Genomic DNA, 19938 nt, shown 5'->3' on the forward strand with positions numbered 1-19938 from the left:
CCAACTTCTTGGTGGGATTGTTTGTTTTTTTCTTGCTGATTTGTTTGAGCTCCTTGTAGATTCTGGATATTAGTCCTTTGTTGGATGCATAGTTTGCAAAGATTTTCTCCCACTCTGTGGGTTGTCTGTTTACTCTGTTGACTGTACCTTTTGCTGTGCAAAAGCTCTTTAGTTTAATTAAGTCCCAACTATTTATCTTTATTTTTATTGCTTTTGCTTTTGGGTTCCTGGTCATGAAATCCTTGTGTAAGCCAATGTCTAGTAGGGGTTTTCCAATGTTATCTTTTAGAACTTTTATGGTTTCAGGTCTTAGATTTAAGTCCTTAATCCCTCTTGAGTTAATTTTTGTGCAATGTGAGAGATGAGGATCCAGTTTCATTCTCCTACATGGGGCTAGCCAGTTGTCCCAACACCATTTGTTGAAAAGGGTGTCCTTTCCCCACTTTATGTTTTTGTTTGCTCTGTCGAAGATCAGTTGGTTGTAAGTATTTGGGTTTATTTTTGGGTTCTCTATTCTGTTCCATTGGCCTATGTACCTATTTTTATACCAGTACCATGCCTCGTAGTATAGTTTGAAATCTGATAATGTGATGCCTCCAGATTTGTTCTTTTGCTTAGGATTGCTTTTGCTATGCGGGCTCTTTTTTGGTTCCATATAAATTTTAGGATTTTTTTTTCTAGTTCTGTGAAAAATGATGATGGCATTTTGATGGGAATAGCGTTGAATTTGCAGATCGCTTTTAGCAGTATGGTCATTTTCACAATATTGATTGCACACACCCATGAGCATAGGCTGTGTTTTCATTTGTTTGTGTCATCTGTGATTTCTTTCAGCAGTGTTTTGTAGTTTTCCTTGTAGAGGTCTTTCACCTCCTTGGTGTTTTATTTTTTTTGCAGCTATTGTAAGAAGGGTGAAGTTCTTGATTTGATTCTCAGCATGGTCACTGTTGGTGTATAGCAGTGCTACTGATTTGTGTACATTGATTTTGTATCCTGAAACTTTAATGAATTCATCTATCAGATCTAGGAGCTTTTTGGATGAGTCTTCAGCATTTTCTAAGTATATGATCATATCATCTGTGAACAGTGACAATTCGACTTCCTCTTTACCAGTTTGGATGCCCTTTATTTATTTCTCTTGTCTGATTACTCTGGCTCTTTTAGTTATTTTTAAAAGTACAATTAAGTTATTATTGACGGTAGTCACCCTATTGCGTTATCAAATAGTAGGTCTTATTCATTCTTTCTACTTAGTTTGCTCTTGTTTTTCTGGTTTCTTAAGGTAGAAGTGGAAGTTTATGGTAATTCATATGAAATCTTTCCTCTTTTTTAACGTAGGCACTTTCAGCTACAGATTTCCCCTTTAAGAACTATTTTAGGCCGGGCGCGGTGGCTCACGCCTATAATCCCAGCACTCTGGGAGGCTGAGGTAGGCAGATTACTTGAGGTCAGGAGTTCGAGACCAGCCTGACCAACATGGTGAAACCCCATCTCTACTAAACATACAAAATTAACCAGACATGGTGGCACATGCTTATAATCCCAGCTACTTGGGAGGCTGAGGCAGGAGAATCGCTTGAACCCGGGAGGTGGAGGTTGCAGTGAGCTGAGTTCGTGCCATTGCACTCCACCCTGGGCAATAAGAGCAAAACTCCATCTCAAAAAATAAATTAATAAAAAATTTAAAAAAACGACTTTAGCTAGATCCCATAAATTTTGGTATGTGGTATTTTCATTTTTATTCATCTCAAAGTATTTTCTAATTTCTCTTGTGATTTTTTTCCTTGACAGCCTGGTTATTTAAGAGTGTTTTGGCTGGGCACGGTTGCTCATGCCTGTAATCCCAGCATTTTGGGAGGCTGAGGCAGGCAGATCACTTGAGGCCAGGATTTTGAGACCAGCCTGGCCAACATGGTGAAACCTCATGTCTACCAAAAATACAAAAATTAGCTGGGCGTGGTGGCAGGTGTCTGTAATCCCAGCTACTTGGGAGGCTGAGGCGGGAGGATCACTTCAGCCCAGGAGGTGAAGGTTGCAGTGAGCCAAGATTGCACCACTACACTCCAACCTAGGTGACAGAGCAAGACCCTGTATCAAAAAAAAAAAAAAGTGTTTTGTTTGATTTCTACTTGTGAATTTCCCAGACTCCCTTCTGTTACTGATTTCTAATTTAATTATGTTGTGCTCAGAAAATATATTTTGTATGATTTTATTCCTTTTAAATCTAGTAAGGCTTATTTTATATCCTAACATACGGTTTATTCACAACAGTGTTCCATATGCACTTAAGAATAATGTATATTCTGCTGCTGTTAAGTAGATGGTTCTATAGATTTCGGTTAGGTCTAGTTTGATTTATAGTATTGTTCAGGTCCTCTGTTTCCTTGTTGATATTCTGCTTAGTTGTTTTATCCATTATTGAAAGTGGAGTATTGGCCGGGTGCGGTGGGTCACGCCTGTAATCCCTGCATTTGGGAGGCCAGGGCAGGTGGATCACTTGAGGTCAGGAGTTTGAGACCAGCCTGGCCAACATGGTGAAACCCCGCCTCTACCAAAAACACAAAAAATTAGTCGGGCGTGGTGGCAGGCGCCTGTAATCCTGGCTACTCGGGAGGCTGAGGCAGGAGAATCACTTGAACCCAGGAGGCAGAGGCTGCAGTGAGCCGAGGTCGCACCACTGGACTCTAGCCCAGGCAACGGAGTGAGACTCCGTCTCAAAAAAAAAAAAAAAGAAAAGAAAAGAAAAGAAAGAAAGTAGAGTATTGAAGTCTCCTACTACTGTTGTTGAATTGTGTATTTTTCCCTTCAATTCTGTCAGTTTTTTCTTCCTGTATTTGGGAGTTTTGTTGTTAGGTGCCAGTGCTGTACTTTTGTCATAGATGTAATCTCTAGTGAAAGGCAACACTGGCATATTGACTCTGTCAAACTGGAGTTTGAGTGGCATTTTGAAGGCTTGTTTTCCAGCATCTTGACCACCATGATGAGTTATAAGGGTAATGGCTAAAAACATGGGTTTTGAAGTCTTTCAGACCTAGGCGGAAATCCAGTCTACCACTTGGTCTATGTAACCTTAGGTGAGTCAGTTTCTTTATCCTTAAAATGTGAATAATGATAATAACTACCTCATTGGGTTGTTATGAAGAATAAGTAGGATCATGTATATTAGGACCTTAGCCTAAGTTAGTGCTTGTTTGTTATCTGTCTGTCTGCTGTCCGAGTATATTCTCACAGATAAAATGGGGAAGAGCTCCAAAAACAGTGAGAGAAGGTATTCACAGATAAAGCATTTGCTATAGATAATTCTCAGATGCACACACCTACCATCATTAAGAGCGGTTGACGAGAGCATTTGCCATATGTATGTGTAGCAGGTAGGGCTGGCCCTGCATGAATGCAGAAAAGAATAAAATTTGAAGAATTATAAGAATGCTTCCCCTGCCCTCCTCCCACATATGCACATCCCAGCATATCTCCCATATACTTTACACATTCAGACCCCGGAATTCTAATATAGAGCCTTATTCTTTTAGGATCCCTCCATCAACAGGCCTCTTTGAAATGCAAACTCTTCGGCATTATATGTAGCCTGTTTAACAGGTTCTGACTAAAGCATTAGTAACTTGTCAGATTTATTTCCTTCTGCTAGAAGAGATTCAAGATAACAAGAACAACAGAGCACTGGTGGAAAAGCTCTGAAAAGGGGTGGGGACAGGGGTAGGAACAGTTCCAAGTGGGACATACGTTTACAGCTGACTTTCAGATAGAGGGTATCCATGTAAGAGTCCAGCTGTGCCCAGATACCAGGCCCTAAACCAGGGTGTTCACCCCGACCCCTACCATACCCCATGCCTTTTCCCATTTCAGAGGTGATGGGGCTATTAGCAGCTCAGGTTATTAGACTCTATTCACTCTACTTTCAGGGTCAGCAGTAACATAGCTCATCAACTTCCCTACCTCTAATCTTTGGCAGCCAGGTAATGCTTTGTCTTGGGACCTGCCACTTGATTGTGCTACAGAGACATGGGCCAGAGACAACAAGGGAGCTCATTCACAATCCTTGGCACCAGGGCTCATCTGTTGATTCTCTTTCTGGGTTTAGATTACATGCACAGCGCCCACCGCCCTGTCACTGGGGGCCACCTGGGGAAAAAGGAGAGTAGTTATGTGGGCAGCGTGGGCACCAGCCCCAGGAAATCGAGCCGCTGCACGCCCCCACCTGCCGACTCTGAGCTTGTCAGCTTCTGCTACCTCCATATGCGGGAACAAAGGAAGGAGCAGGAAAGCCGGACAGATGTCAACGAGAACCTAATCTTCTTTGAGGAGACCAGGCCCCGAACCAAGTCTGACCCCACATCCAAAAGCTCTGGCCAAGGTTATGAGGTAGTCCCTGATGACTTTGATGCAGCTAGCCTAGACCACGAGCCTTGTGCCAGCAGGGCCCGGTCCTACACCTTGGACAATTCCCTTGGGGCTGAAGCCCTGAATTTCTACTGTGACTCTTGCAAAGCCAAACTTCAGGAGCAGCTGGGCCCTCGCAAAGGTGGGAAGCCTGGCTCCTCTCGTGACAATATAGTAGATTTGATGTCCCTCCCACCACCTGGGAGTGAGGAGGAGGAGGAGGAGGAAGATGAGACAACTTCTCTGTTGCCAGCCATTGCTGCCCCACCCCCTGGTTTCCGAGACAACAGCTCTGATGAGGATGACCCCAAGCGCCGGGCTGTCCAGAGCCAGGAACAAGGACGCCACCTGCGTGGGCTTCTGTACGATGAGATTCCAGTGACATTGATTGACAGTGTGCAGACCCGGACAGTTCGAGATCATGCCCAGGAGCTAGATGATGCCCTGGTGTCCACTCTGCAGGCTCTAGAAGCCCTGGCTGCATCCGAGGATGGACCACACCCACCACCCCCACAGACTGCAGGTAATGACCGATTCCTTCTCCCTCTTTCCACCCCCTTCTCTTGTCCAACAAGGGCCAGTAGGTAACATTGTGTCTTCCCAAATAGGTGTCAGAGTCACTGAGGTATGTCAGGGCAGTGGATGTACCAAAGGTTCTTTAGATAGGGTCAGAGGAGCAATGATGTTACAGCAGGGAGCAGCTGCTCAGCTCTAGCTAGAGTTCTGGCTCTCGTCATTGCATCTCTTTGGAAATGCCTTACAGATAGATCCCAGGGATTGGGGTCATGACAGCTATGGATGCAGGCCAGGATAGAGGATCAGAGAAAAACTGTGAGAGATGTAGAAGACAGGTGAAGAACAGAACATCCAGCATGCACATGATTGAAAGAAAAGGAAAACGACCAACTCACTACCTAGTGACCTGGGACCAGGGGAGCCAAGGGCCATCACTGCTCATGGCTGAGGTCTTTATCCTGCCTAAGAACATGGGCTCTGAATCAGATGCACCGAAGTCCTGGTTTCTTCAATCATTGTCAGTGTAACCTTTGGCAAGGCACTTACTCTCTCTGAACCTCATTCCATCATCTTAAATGGGTTTTATAAAAGTAGTTCTATCACATGGGGTTGTCACAAGGATTGAATGAGATCATTCATGCAAAGCATGTAAGCACTGCCTAGCACACAGTAAGGCCTCAGTAAGTGGTAGCTATTGTAACTAAGTATTAGTTCACAGGAAAACCGTACAACATGCATGCTGTTCCCTGTTATAAACACATGTATGTCCATCTTGTAGACAAACACATGTCAGACACATACCCATAGTCACACATATGTCCCTCCATATACATACACCTTAAAAAAAGAGAAGAGAGCTGGGCGTGGTGGCTCACACCTGTAATCCCAGCACTTTTGGAGGCCGAGGTGGGCAGATTACTTGAGGTCAGGAGTTCGAGATCAGCCTGGCCAACATGGTGAAAACCTGTCTCTACTAAAAATACAAAAATTAACTGGGTGGGCTGGTGCACACCTGTAGTCTCAGCTACTCAGGAGGCTGAGGCAGGAGAATCGCTTGAACCTGAGAGGCAGAGGTCGCAGTGAGCCGATACTGCACCACTGCACTCCAGCCTGGGTGACAGAGTGAGACTCTAAAAAAAAAAAAGAAGAAAAAAGAAAGAGAAGAGGTAAATGACACAGCAACAGAAAAGGAATAGGGAGGAATAGGGACCACGAGGGATTGGGGTCAGAGAGAGCCTGCCTTTTCCATGTGTGAGGACACCCTTGACATTGGACAACCCCCATGTATTTGGCCCCCAGGGCTGGCATTTCTCTTTGCTTAGAGTCTGGAGAGAGTGCTAGTTGCTCCCAGGCTTGAGTCCCACGTGGCTGCTGGAGAGAGGACAAGCTCAGCTAAATGGCCTCAGCTGCAATGACTGTAGGCGGGCCTGGCCAGATGAGGAGGGATAGAGAGAGACCTCTCTTTGCCAGCCCCTCTTTAGGACAATTAACAAAAATTTCCTAGCTGTTGAATCTAAAAATAGTTGTGATTAGCATGCTGTTTTGCATGTGATTCACATGGTAATTTGCCATAAAACTGCCCAGATCCTCTCGCCACCTCTTTTGTTTCTGTTTTGGATTCCGGCCTTTCATCCCCTTCTTATAGCTTGCCCCTCTTTGTCCCCTCCCCTCCACTCTTCCCACCCTCAGCCCTGCATTCTCGCCAGGCCTGTCTGTTTTTCTCCAGCTGGAAATACTGCTGGCTAACCTTGGCTTCTATGCACTTCCTATATAGTCAGCCCTCTGTATCTGAGGGTTCTGCATCCACTGATTCAACCAACCGCAGATCAAAAATATTTGAAAAAAAGAAATATGTCTATACTGAACATGTACAGATTTTTCTTGTCATTATTCCCTAAACAACACAGTATAACAACTATTTACATAGCATTTACATTGTGTGAGGTATTATAAGTAATCTAGAGAGGCTTTAAAGTACATGGAAAGATGTACATAGGTTACATGCAAATACTATGCCATTTCGTATCAGGGACTTGAGCATCTGCAAGTTTTGGAATCTTCAGGAGTCCTAGAGCCAATCGCCCATGAATACCGAGGGACAACCGTGTAGAGCTGGAAAAGAACTTGATTTCAGTAAGCATAACAAGCCCTATCCCTGTTCCTCCAGGTCTGATTGTGCTGGCCACAATCACTCCTGAATCATCGCTGGACTCAGGTCATGAAACCAACTCTTCAGAGCTCACAGACATGTCAGAGATGATGTCGGCCATGAAGCAGCACCAGAACACCACCTACTTCCTGGCCCAGCACCTCAACAAGGACAGCCTCCTTGCCCGCAAGGACCTGCCCTTCCGGATCCAGAGCTGTGCAGCCCAGGCCGTTCTTACGGCCCCTTACTCTCTTGGGCGCCCGGATCCCAACCCATCTCTCCAACCCATTGCCACAGGCCAGAGTCCTGGCCCCCCTGGCGCTCGGAGGAAGCTGCCCCAGTCAGAGGGCCAGGTACAGGGAGAACGAACATACTCCTTGGCAGTGCACCCAGCACTGTCCCCACAGCTTAGTGAACAGAAGAATCTGAGTCTGCTGTCCCCAGTTCCTGAGGACAAAGGGCCTGGCCACACTAGGGCAGGCCTAGAAATGTCACTGAGGGCAGCCACATCATCCCTCAGTGAAGAGCAGGTCTCTGAGCTGAGGGACAACCTGCCCAAGGAGGTCAGGTTGAGCCCCAAGCTTATCCTCGACCCAAAGAGCAGTGTGACCCCTGCCATCATCTCGGCCGCCCTACAGCAAGTGGTTCACAATAAGAGTCTAGTCACTGCTGGTGGGGCTTTGGGGAACCCCCCCAGCAGGGGTGAGAGAAGGCTGGAGGCCAGCATGGGGAGGCCAGAGGTTAGCATGATGAGCAGCAGTGCCAGTAAGAATCTGAAGTTCAAAATTAGCCCCAGTGCTCCAGAGACCTCATGGAATTCTCAACATCAGCTGGGTGCAGAGGTCTCTTCCAGCCCCAGAGCACCCACAGGCAGCCGGGCTGACAGCCTGCACCTCTCCCAACAAGAGGACAGTCTGCCTGTTCAAAATTTCCCTCCCAAAAGCTATCTTTTGCGAACAAGCCGAGAGTCAGTGGGCAAGCAAGCTACAGGGGAGGTGGCAGGCAAAGGCGGGCCAGTGGGTGGTAAGCCCACCCTGCAGAAGCAGGGCACCATCTCCAGCCAAGGGGAGAAGGCGCAGCTGGAGAGCACACCCAAAAGAAGCAAGCTCGAAGAGACCAGCCTGGTTCCCCGAGCTACCTACCCCATGGCTCTGCAGAGCCCCAGCTGCCAGTCAAGAAGCCACAGCCCCAGCTGCCAGCCTCATGGCCACAGCCCCAGCAGCCAGTCTCGAGGTCAGAGCCCCAGCTGCCAACCTCGAGGCCAGAGCCCACTGAGGTCTCAGGCTGCCAGCCGGCAGGTGAGCACCATGCCCTCTAGGAAGCTTGAAACAACTCTCAATGGAGCCCACTCGACCTCTGAAGGCCCTGCCAAACCCAAGTCATCCCGAGGTCCTTTCCGGCTACGCAATTTATTCTCTGCCACCTTCCCAACCCGCCAGAAGAAGGAGACAGATGAGCGGCAGGCCCAACTGCAGAAGGTAAAGCAGTATGAACTGGAGTTCCTTGAGGAACTTCTAAAGCCACCAAGCCAGGGGGAGCTGCCAGGCACCGAGTACCTGCAACCTCCAGCACCTGGCCGCTGCAGCTGCCAGCTCCGCAGCAGCCCTGTGCAGCAGGGGCCTGGCATGTCCCGTGAGCAGAGGCGCAGCTGTGACTGCAAGCGCATCTGCCGGGGGGGCCGGCCACAAGCCACCCAGACACCAGTGCCCAGCCTCCGGGGGAGGGAAAGGGACAGAGTCCTCCCTAGCCAGAGGCAGCCAGAGGCTGGCCCAGGCGTGAGCCTCAGCAGCCCCATCAATGTCCAGCGCATTCGTTCTACCAGCCTGGAGTCCCGAGAGTGCCGATCGGACCCTGAGAGTGGTGTTTCGTGCCTGACCACGTGTGCCTCGGGGGGCGAGTGTCTGGGAGCTCCCAATTACAGGAAACTGATGCGCCGCTACAGTATCAGTGAGCTGGACCAGGGTGACAGGGCCTCGCTGACCTCGGATGTCTACCCACATCCTCCCCTGGGCATGCTGCCCAGGGAGGCCAAGGAGGTAGAGGCAAGCCTCCCCATAGCCTTGGGTCCCAAAAGCAGGTCTCTGGAGTCACCGACGCTGGGAGACCCCTCCTACGTCCAGGTTGCCCCAGAGACCAAAGGCCCCAGACAGATGGCCGTGTTCTCACTGCCCGAGGAGGTGTACCGGAAGCCTGCCGAGCTAGACGAGGACAGTGAGAGCAGCAAGTGCTGCTCCATCCGCTACTGCTTCTACTACCGCAAGTGTGACATGGCAGATGATGCCAGTGATGGCAAGGATGAGCTCTCCTACTCTATCCCCATGAAGATCCTGCCTGGCATGAAGCTGGACGAGCAGGTGGTGCCTGTGGTGAGCAGGACCCTGCAGGTGCTGGATGCTGCTACCTGCAGCAGCAGCAGCCCTGAGGCCTCCCGCACTCAGGAGATTGACCTCCGTGTGTCCACCTTCGAGGGGAGCCTGGCCAAGATCAATGCCCTGCGGGCCCATGCCTATGGCCTCCCTGATGGCTTCCTGGCTGCCCGGCTGGACACCAACGAGCTGCTGACAGTCCTGCGGCAGTGTGTGGCCAGCCCCGAGGCCCGTGCCCCCAAGCCCTATGTGTCTCAGATCTCCGAGTATAAGCTTGAGCTAGCTCTCAAGTTCAAGGAGCTCCGGGCCTCCTGCCGCCGTGTGGCCAATGTGGACAAGAGCCCAACTCACATGCTGGCAGCCATCACGGGCAGCTTCCAGGTGCTGAGCAGCCTCATTGAGACCTTCGTGCGGCTGGTGTTCATTGTGCGCTCCGAGGCCCAGCGCCAAGAGCTGCTGGCCAAGGTAGAAGAGGTGGTGAGGAACTACACCTTCCTGCTGCGTGCAGCTGAGGAGTCCACAGCCCGTAACCTTAACCAGCAGCAGCAGCAACAACAACAGCAGCAGCAGCAACAACAACAGCAGCAGCAACAACAACAGCAGCAGCAGCAGCAGCAGGTGGCAGCAGCTGCAGGGGCAGCCACAGAGCATCCACCAGGCTCCCCAACTTCGGCGACTGTTATGAGCACATTCACCCACTCCTTAAAAACCCTTATTAAGTAGGGCATCTGCCCACACCTGTCCCCCTTCCCCAACCATGGCCCCAGGTTTGAGCTTTGTGGTCCTTGCATCTTGTGGTGAGTGTGTGTGTGTCTGCTGGGCCAGTCAGGGTCCAAGAGCCCATCAGTCTCCGGGGAGTGGAAACTCTCTTGATTGAGGCTCTCTCTTAAGGGCTGCAGGCTTAGCTGCCGCCCTGGGTGTCCTCACCCCTTCCCTGGCCTCTGGGCCTCACTGTGAGGGCAAAGGCCCCTCTTCACTCTGCTCACAGCAGAGCTGTATTTTATCTCTTCTCTGGGGCTGAGAGGTGACATCAGGCTCACTTCCTGCTCAATCCGTGTTGGGCGCTGGGGGAGCCAGGGCCTGAAGCAAGCGGACCCTCAGGCTTTGAGCTCCTCGTGGCATCGGCTCCCCTGCTGGGAGCAGTGGCAGTAGCAGCAGGCCACATTGCCGTGCCGAGGGGAGAGGGCGCTCAGTCCAGATGTCCCCATCCACCTTGGGCTCACACTCACCTGGTAGATGCCACCCTGAGGGCCTGTGCCTGGGTGAGATGTCTGCAGAAAACAGCCACACTAGGCTGTTTGCAGCGGCCCAACTGGCCGGCAGCCTGGTGAGCCCTCACCTCCAGGTCCAGTAGCTCCACACCAGCCATCCCCAAAGTGCCCTGCCCCTCACTGATGGGCAGGGCAGCTCAGTCCACTAGGGAGCAAGCATCTGGGATCACCCCACTCATTTTGGGTAAGGTACCTGATGAAAACGTCTGCCTGGGGAGACCCAGTGCAGGCCTAGGAGCCCGCCTAGCCCGGCCCAGCCCAGCTCAGGGGCTGTTGCTGCAGGCATGAGGCTTCTCTCTCAACATCTCTCTACCAGACAGACTGTCCTTGGGAGTTTGACTTAGCTGTGGATCGGGGAGGGGGGTGGGGGGAGGGGGGAAAGGGGTAGGGGTGGGGGGTGTTGATGACTATATCTTAAACTTCTGGAAGCTAGCGTGATATGTTAATCCTGAGTATATGCTTTTGGCTGTGTATTGACCCTGTGGATTTGTCTCTCTAAGAAAAGAAGCTGAGCGCCTTACCCGGTGCAGTCCTGCACCTTTCTCCCTCTCTGGAGCCATCTGGAAGGGAATTCACACTGTTTAACATCCACCTTGACACACACCTCCTATTGCCACCACCGCTGCCACCACCACCGCCACCACCGCTGCCAACCCTCCCCCCACGCCCCCCACCCCCGCAACCTTCCTGGGAGTGAAGACACGGAGTCCCTACCAACTGTCCCACTGTAGGGAACAAAGAAAGCCAATGTTTCTTCTGTATAGATTGCTTCTCGTCCGCCTCTCCATATCTCCCCATTTCCCACACCCTTGTGCCCTGTGTCTGCCTCTGTTTCATCACTGTGTCAGAGGCCCATGTGAAATCTTTCATTCTGATGTGAGTTTTATAAAGATGTACACTGTGCTTAATCCCTGCCCATCCTTGGTAGCCCCTAGTGCAATAAAGTCTCCCTGAGTGGTGAGTTCTCCCGGCAAGGAGGAGGGGAGTTTCTTCTGCAGAATCCAGCCCCTCACTTCCTTGCTTCTCCTCCCCCAGGACCAAGTTGTTGAATGGGCCAGAGATGCAGCCAGTGGGGAATCCTTTTCCCCTCAGCCACTGCAAGCTGGAGTGCTGATATGGTCTTCTTTTTCTCCCAACTTCGCCACTCAGCCCCTGCCTGTGTCATTCCACCGCCATCCTTCACCTCTCCCTCAGCCTCATGGAGAGGAAACATTTTCTAATGTCTGTATATAGTATATATACTACATAAAATATATAAATTATATATATACTAATTTATGTCTTGTTTTTCAAACAAGAATGATTAAATCTATTCATCTTACTATCCCAATAAGTCTTTGCGGTGCCTCTTTGTGGGTGTCCTTGTGTCCTTGAATTGTTGGTTGGTGGTGGCCCTTTGTGTGCTCATCCTGGGCCCCTGCTCTTATGTACTGGGCACTGGTGGGTGATGAGAGCTAAGGACCCTGTTCCTCCCACCTCCCCAACACACAGGGGATCCCCTTTGCTCCTCTTTGAAGCCTACTGTTTCTCATGGGAGTTGGAAATTGTCTACCTCTTTCTCTTGACCACGAGGCTTCTGGCTCACCTGGCCCCCATGGCTGTGACCTCAGAGCTGAAGGGCTGGAGGTGGTGTGGGGGGTTGTGTGGAGAAACACAGTGTGCTCTGTGCCTAGTGTATCAGATGGCCTGGGAATTAGGATTTTAGGCCACTCCTCAGACTGGGGTTGGGAAATGGGGCCTCTCCCTCTGAACTGTGCCTTCTTGCTCTCAGAGTGCAGCCTGACTGCCTCGCAGTTTAGGCTATGGAATCCCTTGCAACAGCCTCTGGCCATGTAGTGGGGTGGGAAGGAGGGATTGTTTCCATAGTATGGAAGCATTAGGACCCTAATCAGAGCTAACCCTTCTGGCTCTTCAGAGTTACCCAAGGGTGAGAAATTATTTTGTTTCTCCTGTTTCCTAACTTTCTTCTGGTACTTACAGTTCTTCACTAGCCTGAGGCATCTTTGTCCAAATTAGAAAAAGGTTCTTCCTGCTGCCCATGCCCCCACCATGACACCCTCTGTGTGATGGGCACATGGCTTGGTAATTTCAGCCCTGTCCAGCCCGACTTGCCTCATTGGCTATGTATACAAGCTACCCAACTGTGTACAGTGATCCTACTTAGTCACTTCCAAAGATTGATAACAGACTCTTTTTTTTTTTTTTTTGAGACAAAGTCTCGCTCTGTCACCCAGGCTGGAGTGCAATGGCGTCATCTCAGCTCACTGTAACCTCCGCCTCCAGGGTTCAAGTGATTCTCCTGCCTCAGCCTCCCAAGTAGCTGGGATTACAGGTGCCCACCACCACGCCCAGCTAATTTTTTTTTTTTTTTTTTTTTTTTTTTGCAGAGACGGGGTTTCACCATGTTGGTCAGGCTGGTCTCGAACTCCTGACCTCAGGTGATCCACCCACCTCATTCTCCCAAACTGTTGGGATTACAGGCGTGAGCCACCACACTCGGCCTACAGACTCCTTTTTTTCCATGTCTGCAAAGGTTATGGCTAAAGAGGTTTGGAAGCAAAGCATTGAAGAGGAGCCAGGGGCAGCACAGTCAGGGGCAGCACAGTCAGGCTGGGATTCTCTGCATGTTCCTCAACACCAAGCCAAAGCTCCTCTTTAAACATGGGAGGGAACCACAGGCAGCAGCCCTTGGACTACAGGCAGAGCTCTTCTGGGTGCTGCCTGCCAGGCATACTGTCCCACAGCACTAAGGTTGGGATTCAGTGCGAGTCAATGCCATGATAAACTGAAGCCCACTGCCACTCAAAATGACCCAACTGGACAGTCTGAAAACTCAGGAGCCCTAAGGCCCTGCACTAACTACACTGGTAGCTCCTTAAGGTCAGAAAACATTCTTATTTAGTTTTACACCCTGGGTACCCACCCACACAGTATCTGGCACATAGTAGTATTCACATATTTGTAGAATAAATGAGTGTTGAAGGAGATGACTGTCATGAGAGAGCCATCCCAGACTTGTGTGTGAGTGAAAAGGGCTCTGTCTCCTCTGGGAGTGGTTGATTTGGGGCAGTGTAGCTGGACATGGCTAGACAGCCTGGCATCCTCCTATCAAAAGATGAGGAGTTGGGGCCATCATTCCATGCCCCACCAACTCAGCTGAGTTTCACCAACTACTTTCCAAAAGCTCCTGAAACTCTCCTGAGGTGACTGACAGTCACCTCAGACCCAGGGTCATTATCTGCAGTATCTGGGAGTGCAGGGAAAGGCCATATTCCCACCAGTGTCTTCCTTGCCATCTTTGGCCTCAACCTGAACCTGAAGCTGATGCTCTCCAGTCACCCCATCCAAGTGTCCCAGAGCCTGATTCCTGCCTTTCTGACTTCAGCCACTTAAAGGAAAATGGGTTCATACTGTTGGCGTGGACCCAAAATGCCAGTGGGTGCTGGCACAATCACATTTTTTTCAAGCTGTTGTGAAGGCACTGTGGATAATAGGTAATTTCATCAGCAATGAATTGAAAGAACCTGCCTCCGCCAGAATTTTTGCTGCCAAAGAGGTAGGGGAGGGTCAACTGCCAGCATTGGGAGGGGGCATACATTTATGTCTTAGGATCGAATTCCTCCGAACAGCCAGTAGGGTAAGGGTAATAACCACATCTGATTCCAAGGTAATAGCCACATCCCATTCCTCATCCTGCAGCCTGGAAGCCAGACTGTGGGTGTACATCTGGAGCGAGAAGGAAGTCCTCCATGGAGTCGGAGGAAATGACCTCTGAGGATTCAGTCCTGGTCCCTGGAGAAATGTCCTGGACTCCAGGCGGGTTTCTTGGGTTCAATGTCCTGACCGGCTGGAAGCCACTGTAAAGTGGAAATGATGAAGGCTGCCTTCTTGCAGGTACAGAACTTCTTGTTTCACATGAGCGTTTCTAGTGACACCCACAAAGGCCTACGCATCCACGCACCAAGTCATTGGTTGATGCCACACCCCAGCATAACAGGGACATGTTCTGGTGTCTGTGTGATGTTTTCAGCTGCAGGATTTTTACCTACCACTTAGGAATAAGCTCGGGTTTAGCTTTTCCTGTTCTCCTGTCTGTGATGTCCTTCCCTCTGGGTATTGATACCTCATTCTCATTTTCAAGGCTTTGGCTAAAAGGAATATGCATCTGTACTATGTTGGGAGTCTTCCACAACACAGAAAAATTGAACCTTGCCCTTAAATAGGCAAAAACAACTGTGTATGAACACTTGCCATATGCCAGATACCTTGCTAAGTACTTTACACACATGATCTCATTTAACCTTCACAATAATCCTTTGAGAGAGGTACTATTATCATTTCCATTTATCAGAGGAGGAAATTGAAGCCTAGACAAGTCACTAGCCCAAGGTCACACAGCTGGTAAATGGTAAGCCTATCAGTTTTCAAACCCAGCCCATCATGCTTTCAACTACTACCCTACAGTACTTAGCCTGACCCCACCTTTCTGTGGACCCAGGGTCATTCTCCGCAGCATCTGGAAGTGCAGGGAGGAACCTACCTTTGTGGGGTTTTTGTTGTTGTTGTTAAACAGGTTCTCACTCCGTCACCCAGGCTGCAGTGCAGTGGCATAATCACAGCTCACTGCAGCCTAGACCTCCTGAGCTCAGGTGATCCCCCACCTCAGCCTCCCAAGTAGCTGGGACTACAGGCACCCACCACCACATCCAACTGATTTTTATTTTTATTTATTTATTTTTTTGTAGAGACAGGGTTTTGCCATATTGCCCAGGCTGGTCTCAAACTCCTGGGCTCAAGTGATCTCCCTGCCTCAGCCTCCCAAAATGCTGGGATTACAGGCATGAGCCACCACTCCTGACTTCAACCTTACCTGCTAATCACTTCTCCCGGAAACAGAGGCATGGATGCAGCCACACTCATCAGAAGATGACCTGTAATTGCTGCTCAGGGTCCAGGCGGCCTGTGTGTAACAGGTGGCCTGTGACATTGAAATGTGAGTGCAAGCCCACCTGTCCCCTAACCTATCTTCTCTGGTCTGCCCTTGTGCCTCATGCCTCTTTGAGGGAGCCAGGGATGAAACAGTATATGTGCATGGAAATTTGTGGGCTGAGCGTTATGTCCAAAAAGCAGCCTTCAAAATATGCACGTGGCTCTCAGGTGGTCCCCTCATCCTCTACCATCTGCCCACTGATATGGGACTCCCTGTGCTCCTCCACCTGGGGTCTGAGCCCCCCAGAGTATGTGGCAATGTGCTGGCAGACACAAAAAGCCACAGTTACAATGTGGCCCATACTCCTGACACATTTGAATTTTTCTCCAAGATTTTGGAGGAAAATATCATTCTGATGACTCATTATTATTTATTTATTTTGAGACAGAGTTTCACTCTCACTGCCCAGGCTGGAGTGCAATGGCGTGATCTCGGCTCACTGCAACCTCCGCCTCCTGGGTTCAAGCAATTCTCCTGTCTCAGCCTCCTGAGTAGCTGGGATTGCAGGCATGCACCACCACGCCCAGCTAATTTTGTATTTTCAGTAGAGACGGGGCTTCTCCATGTTGGTCAGGCTGGTCTCCCGACCTCAGGTGATCTGCCCACCTCGGCCTCCCAAAGTCCTGGGATTACCGACGTGAGCCACCATGCCCGGCCCACATTAAATATTTTTATCTAAAAGCATCATGTGAGGAATGCAAACATGAATGCCTTTTAAAGATACATATCATTTCAAAGACACTTGAGTCTTATGTCTGATACTTTTGGTGACATTCCCATAGCCATCTACCCAGCATCCAAGTTCACTCTCTTCGACTAATAGACATGCTTGGATGGAAGTATTGACACACTTGGGGCCCATCAGATGAGCCAGCTGGTTGCATAAGCCTTAAGGGGAGGATAGCTGGGACCCGTCTATTTCCGTGGATCTGGGCACAGGGTGGGGGTCAAGTGCTTGTTCAGGGATATGAGACCTGGAATGGCCAGGTAGGGTGGCTCATGCCTGTTTTCCCAACACTTTGGGAGGTAAGGCAGGAGGATCGCTTGAGCCTAGGAGTTGGAGACCTGAGCAACATAGCAAGACCCCATCTCTTTAAAGAAAATTAGCCAGACATGGTAGCACACGCCTGTTGTCCTAGCTACTCAAGAGACTCAGGTGGGAGGATCCTTTGAGCCCAGGAAGTCACACTGCCACTGCACTCCAGCCTAGGCGATAGAGCAAGATCCTGTATCTAAAAAAAAGAGAAAGACCTGAAGTGACAGGGTGTCAGAAAGGGACCCCAAGAGGAGATGGGGCAGCATTATCAAAGGCTCCCTCCCCTTCCCTGCCCCTGCCCCCCAACTGTTGCCTATTACACACTTTAGCAGCAGGTCAGCCCCAAGCCCAGACTGAGGGGAACCAGCCGGAGATTTCTGCATCTGCAATGAGCAAGCAAAGCAGGGAAGCTGTGTGGGCTAGGCTGAGCAGCTCACCCTAGAATCAGGGCTCACTTCTATTTTTCAGCCCAGCCACTGACTTGCCATATGATGGGGTATACGTCATTTTACCTCTTTGGGCCTCTCCTCTAAAACGAAGATGACTGAGTCTTCAGCCTCCCTCTATGGCTGTGAGGATTAATGAGGTGGTGCTGAAAACGCAGCTGTAAAAATCCTGAGTCTTAGCTGTACAACTTAACAAGTACAAATAGAACTGCCCCATTTGCAGCTGGTCCACAGAAACTAATTAAGCTTGCACCAAAGGCCTGGAACTAGAAACTTGGCCAGCAGAGCTTTGGGGGACTGTTTTCTCCAAATATCCATTGCTCCCAGGCAAAGCCATTTTCAGTTAGTTTCCCTCAAAAAGGACCTGCAAGACCTCTTTTTCCCTGGGCCTTTTTTTCGAAATTGCTAAGCCAGCTCACTTCCTCAATGGAGAATCCCTGTCCTCAGTGGACACAGTCTGGTGAACACGAAGCTCATCTTGGCCTTTGGCCAATACCCCTCACATGTTTCTCTGACATCTTCCTGCTCTTCCTCCATCCTCATCCTCCTTGCTAAAAGCAGCTGTAATAAAGGGAGCTTGAATTTCTAATTTTTCCTCAACATTTAGGCTTAATAGGAAAGGGTTTTGGTTTTGGTTTTGGTTTTTTTTTTTTTTTTTTAAAGAGAATATTCATTCCAGGCACGGTGGCTCACACCTGTAATCCCAGCACTTTGGCAGGCCAAGGCCGATGGATCATCTGAGGTCAGGAGTTCGAGAGCAGCCTGGACAACATGGCAAAACCCTGTCTCTACTAAAAAGACAAAAATTAGCTGGGCATGGTGGTGCATGCCTGTAATTCCAGCTACTCAGGAGGCTGAGGCAGGAGAATCGCCAGAACCTGGGCAGCAGAGGTTGCAGTGAGCCGAGATCGTGCCACTGCACTCCAGCCTGGGTGACAAAGTGAGATTCTGTCTCAAAAAACAAAAACAAAAAAACAACAACAACAAAAACCCACCTTTTTCTCTTCCTCTCCCCAAGCAAAAACTGGTAGCATGGACATGTTACATGTTGTACATTAGATCTCCAGACTTCATCCTACATCCTACATCCTACATATTTGCTACTTTGTATCTTTTGAACTACATCTCCCCATTTTCTCTGCCAGGGCAACGTAATGAACTTCAGCCATCTGATTAACTGAACAAAGCACTTTGTGCTGGGCATAAGGGCTTCCTACAATGTCAGATATACTCATATCCAATGCAGAATGCAATGAATCTGATTTTTTTTTTTTGAGATGGAGTCTGGCTCTGTTGCCCAGGCTGGAGTGCAGTGGCACGATCTCAGCTCACTGCAACCTCCCCCTCCCGGGTGCAAGTGATTCTCCTGCCTCAGTCTTCCAAGTAGCGGGGACTACAGGTATGCACCACCACACCCAGCTAATTTTTGTATTAAAAAATGAAAAAAATTTTTGAGACGGAGTTTCGCTCTTTTCACCCAGGCTGGAGTGCAGTTCTTTCTCTTAATGGCACGATCTCTGCTCGCTGCAAACTCCACCTCCTGGGTTCAAGCAATTCTCCTGCCTTAGCCTCCCAAGTAGCTGGGATTATAGGAGCCCACCACCACACACAGCTAACTTTTGTATTTTTAGTAGAGACGGGATTTCACCATGTTGGCCAGGCTGGTCTCGAACCCCTAACTTCAGGTGATCTGCCTGCCTCAGCCTCCCAAAGTGCTGGGATTACAGGCGTGAACCACCATGCCCGGTCATGATTTTTTTTTTTTTTTTGGAAGCTAAATTTATTTTTATTTTTATTTTTTTTTTAATTTTTTTTTTATTATACTCTTAAGTTTTAGGGTACATGTGCACATTGTGCAGGTTAGTTACATATGTATACATGTGCCATGCTGGTGCGCTGCACCTACTAACGTGTCATCTAGCATTAGGTATATCTCCCAATGCTATCCTTCCCCCCTCCCCCGACCCCACCACAGTCCCCAGAGTGTGATATTCCCCTTCCTGTGTCCATGTGATCTCATTGTTCAATTCCCACCTATGAGTGAGAATATGCGGTGTTTGGTTTTTTGTTCTTGCGATAGTTTACTGAGAATGATGGTTTCCAATTTCATCCATGTCCCTACAAAGGACATGAACTCATCATTTTTTATGGCTGCATAGTATTCCATGGTGTATATGTGCCACATTTTCTTAATCCAGTCTATCATTGTTGGACATTTGGGTTGGTTCCAAGTCTTTGCTATTGTGAATAGTGCCGCAATAAACATACGTGTGCATGTGTCTTTATAGCAGCATGATTTATAGCCCTTTGGGTATATACCCAGTAATGGGATGGCTGGGTCAAATGGTATTTCTAGTTCTAGATCCCTGAGGAATCGCCACACTGACTTCCACAATGGTTGAACTAGTTTACAGTCCCACCAACAGTGTAAAAGTGTTCCTATTTCTCCACATCCTCTCCAGCACCTGTTGTTTCCTGACTTTTTAATGATTGCCATTCTAACTGGTGTGAGATGATATCTCATAGTGGTTTTGATTTGCATTTCTCTGATGGCCAGTGATGATGAGCATTTCTTCATGTGTTTTTTGGCTGCATAAATGTCTTCTTTTGAGAAGTGTCTGTTCATGTCCTTCGCCCACTTTTTGATGGGGTTGTTTGTTTTTTTCTTGTAAATTTGTTTGAGTTCATTGTAGATTCTGGATATTAGCCCTTTGTCAGATGAGTAGGTTGCGAAAATTTTCTCCCATGTTGTAGGTTGCCTGTTCA

General features: G+C 49.1%; 1 protein-coding gene across 8 annotated transcripts in view, besides 4 other annotated features; it reads left to right on the forward strand.

The window, feature by feature from the left end:
- Nucleotides 1–12030, forward strand: part of FRMPD3 (FERM and PDZ domain containing 3) — a 155600-nt gene extending 143570 nt beyond the window's left edge. For all 8 annotated transcript variants that reach the window (NM_001388459.1, NM_001388462.1, NM_032428.2 and 5 more), the window contains 2 exons: nt 4100–4921; nt 7082–12030. In NM_001388459.1, the coding sequence (NP_001375388.1) occupies nt 4100–4921; nt 7082–10152 (3893 nt within the window). In that variant the 3' untranslated portion in view covers nt 10153–12030. The remainder of the gene's footprint in view (nt 1–4099; nt 4922–7081) is intronic.
- Nucleotides 5658–6159: an enhancer, noted in NCBI's record as "H3K27ac hESC enhancer chrX:106842109-106842610 (GRCh37/hg19 assembly coordinates)". NCBI's record gives its function as "activates a minimal SCP1, AML or CMV promoter by ChIP-STARR-seq in naive H9 embryonic stem cells {active_cell/tissue: H9 hESC(naive)}" and the evidence as "EXISTENCE:reporter gene assay evidence [ECO:0000049][PMID:30033119]".
- Nucleotides 6160–6659: an enhancer, noted in NCBI's record as "H3K27ac hESC enhancer chrX:106842611-106843110 (GRCh37/hg19 assembly coordinates)". NCBI's record gives its function as "activates a minimal SCP1, AML or CMV promoter by ChIP-STARR-seq in naive H9 embryonic stem cells {active_cell/tissue: H9 hESC(naive)}" and the evidence as "EXISTENCE:reporter gene assay evidence [ECO:0000049][PMID:30033119]".
- Nucleotides 6782–7327: an enhancer, noted in NCBI's record as "H3K27ac-H3K4me1 hESC enhancer chrX:106843233-106843778 (GRCh37/hg19 assembly coordinates)". NCBI's record gives its function as "activates a minimal SCP1, AML or CMV promoter by ChIP-STARR-seq in naive H9 embryonic stem cells {active_cell/tissue: H9 hESC(naive)}" and the evidence as "EXISTENCE:reporter gene assay evidence [ECO:0000049][PMID:30033119]".
- Nucleotides 7328–7873: an enhancer, noted in NCBI's record as "H3K27ac-H3K4me1 hESC enhancer chrX:106843779-106844324 (GRCh37/hg19 assembly coordinates)". NCBI's record gives its function as "activates a minimal SCP1, AML or CMV promoter by ChIP-STARR-seq in naive H9 embryonic stem cells {active_cell/tissue: H9 hESC(naive)}" and the evidence as "EXISTENCE:reporter gene assay evidence [ECO:0000049][PMID:30033119]".
- Nucleotides 12031–19938: the final 7908 nt, after the last annotated feature.

Source organism: Homo sapiens, chromosome X (assembly GCF_000001405.40).
Source record: "Homo sapiens chromosome X, GRCh38.p14 Primary Assembly".
Lineage (NCBI taxonomy): Eukaryota > Metazoa > Chordata > Mammalia > Primates > Hominidae > Homo > Homo sapiens.